Here is an 8,472-nt window from a genome sequence, read left to right on the forward strand (position 1 = left end):
GATCTCAGTTTATCAGAATATGCTGGTTAAAATGCAGATACCTCTGGGAGAAGTAACACAAGGTGTCACCTGGAGGCACTGTTTCATCAGTTTCTTTCCCCAAAAGACAGCAAAGTGGCCTGGAAATGGAACTCAGACTAGAGGTGGCGGGGCAGGGAGGCGAGGACGGGGCAGGGAGGCGAGGACGGGGCAGGGAGGCGAGGACGGGGCAGGGAGGCGAGGACGGGGCAGGGAGGAGGGTTCCAAAGAAGCACGTTGCTGATTTCTAAGCATCACTCCTTGTGAGGACCAAGAAGGAATATTTTTGCTACTCTCACCCTGACTAAAGTGGTTCTCAAGTAAGTCTGGGGTCCAAAGCATTGAGGAGACCCCGGGGAGAGTTGTCAGAGGGTCTCAGAGGAACCTAGCTCAGGAGGAGAGGCCGAGGCAATCAAGATGGTTTATCTCTACAAAGAGAAGGCTGAGGGGATACCTAGTGTCTTCCTTTAAATATCTGAAATTGTTCTTGAGAGCGGCTGGTGAAGATTCCACTTAAAACCTCGGGATCAAGGACTTCTCTCAAGCATGAGGAAGTGCTCCCTTCTCCAGAGGGATGCAAATGCTGGCGTGGAGTCTGCAGGGGGCCTGGCTGCTTCTGGGACATGGTGAGTGTGGGGAGAGGTCCCGGCTCTGCCGGATGACCAGGCACAGCCCTGCCATGGAGGCCTCCCAGCGGGGCCTGGGATCCATCTCGGCTGCTGGCCCAGCAGATTCTCTCCCGTGCTGCTGCTGTGGTAAGTTACCCAAGCACAGAGGTGGGTTTCTGTGGGGGCCGGCGTTGGGACCCATGCCAGACTGATGGTGTAGATAAGAGGAAGTGTGACTCCAGCAGAGAGCATCAGCTTTGCTGTAGGACTGCCCCAGCTTCCAACCTCATTGCACCACTTGGCTCCGTGACTCTGAGAAACTTACTAACCTCTCTTACCTTGTTATCCCATGTGTTAAATGGCAGCAATGATAGCCCCTTCCTCATAGGGCTGTTGATAGCCATATCCCAGCTGAGGACAGGAGGTGAGGCTGAGAACAGTCCCAGCACTCAGACATGGAAGCAGCGCTACTGGGAGGCTTGAACATCCACTGTCTCTCCAGTCTCTGGACTAGCTCCTCCGTGCCCCCAAGGCTGATGTGTCAGAGATGAGATGTGAGACCTCAGCCCCTCCCGCCCCTGCTGCCTGGCTGCCACTTTGCATGCAGCTTTGGTCTGAACCCCACCTGCTGCTCCAGACCACAGCTGGGCCCAGCCCACGTCCTCCTTCTTCCTTGGTGAGGAGACGGATATCTTTCCATCAGCCTGGCCAAGGAGGGGTGTAGCAGCAGGTTGTCCTGGGGAGGGAAAGGCTTCCGGTAGCCCTCCCTTCATCCCCCTTTCCATACCTCAAAACCACCAGCCCTCAACCAGGAAGCCCTAGGTCTTCCTTTCTGTCTTCCAAAGAAGAGGAGGACAGGGACAGAGGCAAACAACAGCCGCAGCCACCACCCTCCCAGCCTCACTGTCTTTGCTTGAAAGCAGGGGCATATAAAAATAAAAAATAAGGAAGACTAACCTTCTGGCCAATCTCAGTTTAGATACCCTGCAATTAAACAAATCCACAAACCCGCAACACATATTTACATCTCATTAGCAGAAGCCAAATGCAACAACGGCATTAAAATTAAGAAATGAGGCACAATTATCCCGTCGGCGGCAGTGGGGAAGCCGTCAAGGGCTGGTTTCTTCATTAGTTTGCTCAGAAGTTCAGCAGCTCCCTAATTGTGGGCTGCTATTTTTTACCCCCTCCTCCTCCTGCTTAAAAAAAATTGTCTGAGGTTTTATTTTTCTGCAGTGCAGCAGCTTCGATGGGGGGGGGCCAGCAGGGCCCAGGAAGCTTGGAAGAAGTGCTGTCTCCTCTCTGGCCTCTGTAACCTCAGCCCCCAGCTGGGCCTGGCTGAGTGGCAGTGGCTGGGGGTTAGGAAGGCCTGGGGAACACCGGGTGGTGGTGCCCACAGATCCCAGTGGACTCCCAGGGAGGGCTCTCGACCGCTCACAGCCTGTACTGCTGCCATGGGGCTGGAGCTCCCTGGGGCCAGCTGCATCTCAGGAATGCATCCTGCTTCCCTTGGGCAGGCAGCTGTCCCAGGCACAGCTCTCAGGCCGGCTCTGCTGGCCCTCAGTGGGCCTTTCAGGAATGTGTGTGGGGTGGTGAATGAGAATGTTCTGGTCATAGCCCTTTAGTGCAGGTGAGGGGGGATTCGTGGGGCCCCAGGCTGTGCCCAGGTGGGTAGGCTTGGGCTCCAAGGGGGGTTGAAGAGCACTGGCCAGCTCCAGGGAGAGGCTTTGCCTGGAGCGCCCTCCTTTCTGGAGGGAGTCTTGTAGTGGCTGGCACTAAAATTGCACAGAGCCTTGGTTTTCTCAGCTGTCAAATGGCATAAGTGAGACACCTTCCTCCTCCCTCAGGGCTGCGTTTTGAGGTGCTTTGCGAGTGTCCAGGCTTGTTTTATTGTTGTCCAGCCTCTCGGTCCCCACTGGGAAGCCTGGGCGCTCTCCAGGGCAGGCCCGTCAGCTGGGAGAGCAGGGTTGGTCGGTGCCCTCAGGGCGGTTTGCCTCTCCCTATCAAAGTGGAGGTTTCACAGGCTTCCAAGTTACTGAGCTATGGATTTTCCTAGAGTCTCCAGGTGAAGAATTTTGTAAATATTCTACTTTATTTAATATTTGTGTCAAATCAGTACTTACAAACACACATTTCAAACATAACTAGAAATAAATTATTTTAGGATATTAATCAACAAACCATCAAATGCGACATTAATTTAGTGACTGTTACAGGGACTGCAAAGACGTCCTGCCCCTCTTCCACACTGCCACACTCTGCATGTTACAGGGACTGGAGAGACTCCCTGCCCCTCTTCCACACTGCCACACTCTGCGTTAGAGGCTGCTGCCATTTGGAACGGCTGATGATGAAGGGATCTCACCCCAGGATTTTCTCACATCAGGGATGCAGCAGCAGGTTGGCCCAGGGGTTTGGGGGAGGGCTCTTTGTTGCGGCTTCAATTCTTATCTTCCCAACCTTACCCTGAAACCTCATTCATTCATCCATTCATTCATTCGTCTGTCTAATATTTATTGAGCAACTACTGTTTTCCTGCTGCCATGGTCAAGGCTAGGGTTGATGAGGCCACAGGGTCCCTGCATTTGAAGGCCAGTGGCAGACAGAGAGAATGACAACAGGGCGTGATAGTGCTTAGGTGAGGCTCAGTCAGAAGTCACTGCCCACGGAGCTCAGAGAACAGCTCTCATGCCTTTCTTAGGGGTCAGGGAAAGGACAGCCTGGGCTGGGACTGCCCACTCTCCACACCACAGGCCACACCACTGTGCCTGGCAGCTTTTGTCCCAGGCATCTCATCTCAGGGTCTAAGCAGCTGCCTCTCCGCTTGTTCTGGGAGGGGGGATGGGGACTGAGGCCCACAGGAGTTCCTGGAGTTTGACATCATATGAAGGCAAAGCAGGGAAAGGAAGTTGAGCCTCTTCTGCGGATTGAAAAGCAAAATACTCACAAGGAAATCCCTCTTTCGAATCCATTCACTGTGGCTACATAGCCCCATTGCACTGGGCCCCACATCAAGGATAAAATGACACTATTGATATTTTCCTGAGACTACTCTACCTAATTAACATATGATAACTCTTTCATCCTTCCAAAACCCTACCAGGAATATACTATTATCACAGTGTCCATCTTAGAAAAGGCCAAAGAAAGGCCCACTGAGGCTGTTTAACTCGCCCAGGGCCACAGAGCTGGAGGCCTCTGCAGACTGAGCCCCAGGCTGTGGGTGGCTCCCTACCTGAGGCTGCTTGCATAGAGTGGCAGTTAGAGTCCACTCGCTCATGGCCCCACAATCCCCTGGTATGTGTTCACAGGTGCTCACGAGCACTCTGCAGGGGAGAAAGGCCCTCTCAGCTCCCTGGCATCAGAGTGTCTCTGCCTGTCCCCACCTCTGTGGCTTGCCCCTGGGAGACTCCAGGCTGGCGAGAGAGTGCACTGCAGTCCCACTGCCCCAGGCCGCTGCCCAGCCCCTTCTCACCAGAGGACGTGGTGGTCTGCCCCGGGCAGGCAGGCAGTGCTTGGGGGTCTGACTCCTGCTGTTCACAGGGGGTCGAAGTGCTGCTCTGGGCTCTTGGGGAAGCTGGAGGCTGAGATGGGGAATGCTCTCCAGACCAGCTGTGGGACTGCCTGGGGAGGGCAGGTGTCAGGTGGGGCAGCTGATAAGGAAGGAGAGCTGGCTCTGGGTGGGGGCAGTGGGAGGGGATGGCAGGCCACCCTCAAGGTGACTTCATTTCAGACTGGAGCTCAGCCGGCTGAGGTGGTGGGTCTGAGGAGCCTCTGAGGTAGGTCCAGGGATGGGGCCTTCCCTTTAGAGAATTGCTGAGAGGAGCTGGAGGACAGGTAAGGCGAGGCTGATTTCCAGCCCTGACACGCGGTAGGCTTCTGAGCCTTTCTTCCTCTTTAGCTGGATTGTGTTGTGAAATGTGCTCCTCAAGGACAGGGATGGTGTTTGTTCAACATGTCCGTGCCTCCGGCCCCATAATGAGGACTCTATGTTTTAATGCTTGCTGTGAGTTATCCGAGCATTTAAAACGGGAGACTAGAGACATCTCGTGTGCTCCTCGTTGTAGGCATGGTGGGATTGCCACCATCTTCGGAGGAATGATGGAGCTTCTGTTCTGTGCAGGCACCACTCATGTCCATAGTCAGCAAGCCCACAGCCAGTGCAGGGGGCAGCACAAAGCCTTGAGAACTATTCCACTTGGTGAGAAGGCCAGGACTCAGGGGCCCTCAGATCCGAGTTAAAATCTCAGTTATAGCTGGATTTGAGACTTTTTTTTTTTTTTTGAGATGGAGTTTTGATTTTTAGCCCAGGCTGGAGTGCAATGGTGCGGTCTTGGCTCTCTGCAACCGCCATTTCCCGGGTTCAGGTGATTCTCCTGCCTCAGCCTCCTGTGTAGCTTGGATTACAGGCACCCACCACCATGCCCAGCTAATTTTGTGTTTTTAGTAGAGATGGGATTTCACCAAGTTGGCCAGGCTGGTCTTGAACTCCTGACCTCAGGTGATCTGCCCACCTTGGCCTCCCAAAGTGGATTACATCCAAGCCTCCCATGCTTGGATTACAGGCATGAGCCACCATGCCCGGCCAAGACTTTGGATAAGTTATCTAACTTAGGACTCATTCTCTTCATCAGTAAAACGGGGATAATTACAGTATCTGCCTTGCAGGATTGTTACGGGTATTAAATTAGATGAGCTATATTATTTAAGGCACTTAGTATGATATTTCATGTGTAGTAAATGCTTAAAAATTGAGAACAAAAAAGAAATAGAAGTGCAATGGCTGGTAAATGCATAGCAGCAGGAGTGAAGACCCGGAAAAGACTTCTCAGGAGAGGTGACATCTGTGCCATATTGTGGAGGAGGAGTTGGAGGGGTCAGAATGCAGGAGGAGGCAAGAGCAAAGAGCATAAACCAAAGCTTAGAGATGCCAAATCGTACGCCTTTTTCAAGTGTTGGAGAGAAGTTCTGCGAGGCCATGCCCAGAGAAGGGAAGCAGGGAGTGAGGCCAGTAAGGTCAGTGACAACCCCATGATGACAAGACCCTCTGCTGTGCCTCTGTGGTTGATTTAACCTGCCAGCCACATGGGACCTTCAGGAGTCTGAAAATGAAGTTGACATAATAAGACTTGAGATTCTTGGGGCCAGCTTGACAGATGGGTGTGTGTTGAAGAGGGAGAAGATGAAGGCCAGTGTGATAGGTCCACAGCAATGACAATAATGATAATGATGACAATGATGATGAAAATGACAATAATAATAACAATAATGATGCTGTTGCTGAAGGTGATGATGATAATTATGGTAATGATAATGATGGTTATGGTGGTGATGATGACAATGATGATGATAATGACGATGATGATAATGACAATAACGATGATGATGTGAACCCAGGAAGTCTGAGACAGGTCTCAGTTAATTTAGAAAGTTTATTTTTCAAAGGTTAAGGACACACCCGTGACACAGCCTCAGAAAGTCCTGATGACATGTGTCCAGGGTGGTTGGGGCATAGCTTGGTTTTATACATTTTAGAGAGACATGATACATCAATCAATATAGGTAAGAAGTACATTGGTTCGGACTGGAAAGGAGGGGCAACTTCAAGCAAAGTCAGGAAGACTTGAAGACTTGAAGTAGGGAGGGGCTTCCAGGTCACAGATAAGGGAGACACAAACGGTTGCATTCTTTTGAGTTTCTGATTAGTCTTTCCAAAGGAGGCAAATCAGAAATGCATCGATCTCAGTGAGCAGAAAGATAACTTTGAATAGAATGGGAGGCAGGTTTGCCCTAAGCAGTTTTCAGCTTGAGTTTTCAGTAGTGATTTTGTGGGCCCAGAATACTTTCCTTTCACAATGGTGACAGTGATGATGATGGAGATGACGGTGACGGTGATGGCGATAATGATGACGATGGTGACAGTGATGATGATGGTGATGACGGTGACGGTGATGGTGATGGTGATGATGGTGACAATGAAGGCGATAATGATGACGATGGTGACGTGATGAGGATGGTGATGATGGTGACAATGATGGTGATAATGATGATGATGATGGCGATAATGATGATGATGGTGACAGTGATGATGATGAAGGCCAAGGGGAAGCAGAAAAAGAGACAGATTGAAGTGACTCTTAGATGAGGCCTATAGAAACAAGGGCACTGTTAGAATGTTATACATGAAAAACAAGAGTATGAGGGCTATCAGGGACGACTCCAAAGTTTCCAGTTTGGGCAAATGGGGAGAAAGAATATCAGAGGAGAAGTAGGCTTTGGGGGTAGGTGATAAGCCTAATTCTGGATGTGTTGGGTTTGGGGCACTCATAGAATGTTTAAGTGGAGACTTCACGTCCCACGCCTTCACACTCATCCCCTCATGGAGTTGCTCAAAGTGATGTAATGTTGCTAGTGAGAATGATGAGAGGAAAGAGTAGGAGAAAATAATGGTGAGGTTTATTTGACTTTGACCACCTAGGAGCTAGCCTTGAGAGCTACTCACTTATCCCTGTAGCTGTACTTTGCTCTACAGAGTTTGTTGACATCAAAATTTTTGCTTCTAGGAATGGGACTGAGGGAGACATAGAGCTCCCTAATGCTGAATCTCTTCCCTGTGCTGAAGAAAACTCCAGACCTCCCAGCCACTGGAACTAAAATTGGGTAATTTTTCTCCGAGACATTGGAAATAATTTCTAATATTTTTCAGCCAGTGAAAAAGGCCAGATAATTCTCTTTCTCTTTTCCCATCACCCACACAGCTATGACTTTGTAGTCCTATCTGGATCACTTCCGCAGCCTGCAATCCCAGCCCCAGCAGCCCCATCTACTGCCTTGGGCATTGAATAGAGTCTTGTCCTGCTTAATAGCAAATGCTGCTCAGGCATCCTGCTAGGTTTTTTACGGCCAGGGTAGAGGAGAGAAGAAAAGAGAAACGGCAGGCTTACAAGCATCTTCTCTGCCTCTCTAATAGCTAAGAAGCCTACATTTCCAATCTAATTTATTTTGGTTTCTGCTCTGAAACTTGGAACCCAGGTACATTGACAGATGCAGGAAAGGAGTGACTGTTCCTTGTACATTCAGTGTGAGATGTTGAGAACGGTGGGCTTAGGAGAAGGGCCAGATGACACTACCATCTTTGCATTCATGGACTTCTAATGTATACTTTATCTATAGTTAGTATTAATAAAGTAAAAAAAGATATCCATTTTAATTTTTGGTAACTATGCAAAATCCATAGGTTTTTTGTTAAAATATTAGAAAATAAACATAAATAAAAGACGAAAATATTTTTTACAAGCTCATTTTCCATTACCTTTGGCATTTTGGTAATATAATTTTCCAGAAGGTAAACATTTTGATAATGCTTTAAAGTGCCTTTTAAAAGATACATAAAATATAAATGAATACAAATAGAATAGTGTTGAAATCTTAAGTTTACATTCCCACATTCTGAACACACTTAGGTAATGAGCCCCTAGATCAAGAAACAGAGTGTCACCAGGATTCCATTTACAGCCAATGTTTTTACTGAATTGGGTGGGTTTACAGTCACTTTGTTACTATTAATTTTCTATTTGTACAAACAGCTTTATGTTTATTTTCCTCTCATTTTTTGAGTTCCTGTGAATTCATCTCATATTTTTTATTATTCCATTGTTTAAATCAGCTTGTCATGTATCTTTCTTTTGTTTTTTGTTCATAGTTACTCTAGCTAGTACAATATACATCTTTGATGTCTTCCTTTCTAATACAAATTGTATTTTACCACTTCTGTGATGTTGCTAGACCTTTAGAACCTTTCAGCTATATTTGTACCACTGCTGCCTTTTGCTTTAGAGTTACTGCC

The 8,472-nt window shown here is 48.8% G+C and overlaps 1 long non-coding RNA gene across 1 annotated transcript; it reads left to right on the forward strand.

Annotated features, from left to right (window-relative positions):
- Positions 1-2,819: 2,819 nt before the first annotated feature.
- On the forward strand, positions 2,820-7,771 carry LOC124902799 (uncharacterized). The gene is made up of 3 exons (XR_007062962.1): positions 2,820-3,026; positions 7,190-7,286; positions 7,385-7,771. It is a non-coding gene; the product is annotated as an uncharacterized LOC124902799 (long non-coding RNA).
- Positions 7,772-8,472: the final 701 nt, after the last annotated feature.

Source organism: Homo sapiens, chromosome 11 (genome assembly GCF_000001405.40).
Source record: "Homo sapiens chromosome 11, GRCh38.p14 Primary Assembly".
In the NCBI taxonomy this organism is placed as follows: Eukaryota; Metazoa; Chordata; class Mammalia; order Primates; family Hominidae; genus Homo; species Homo sapiens.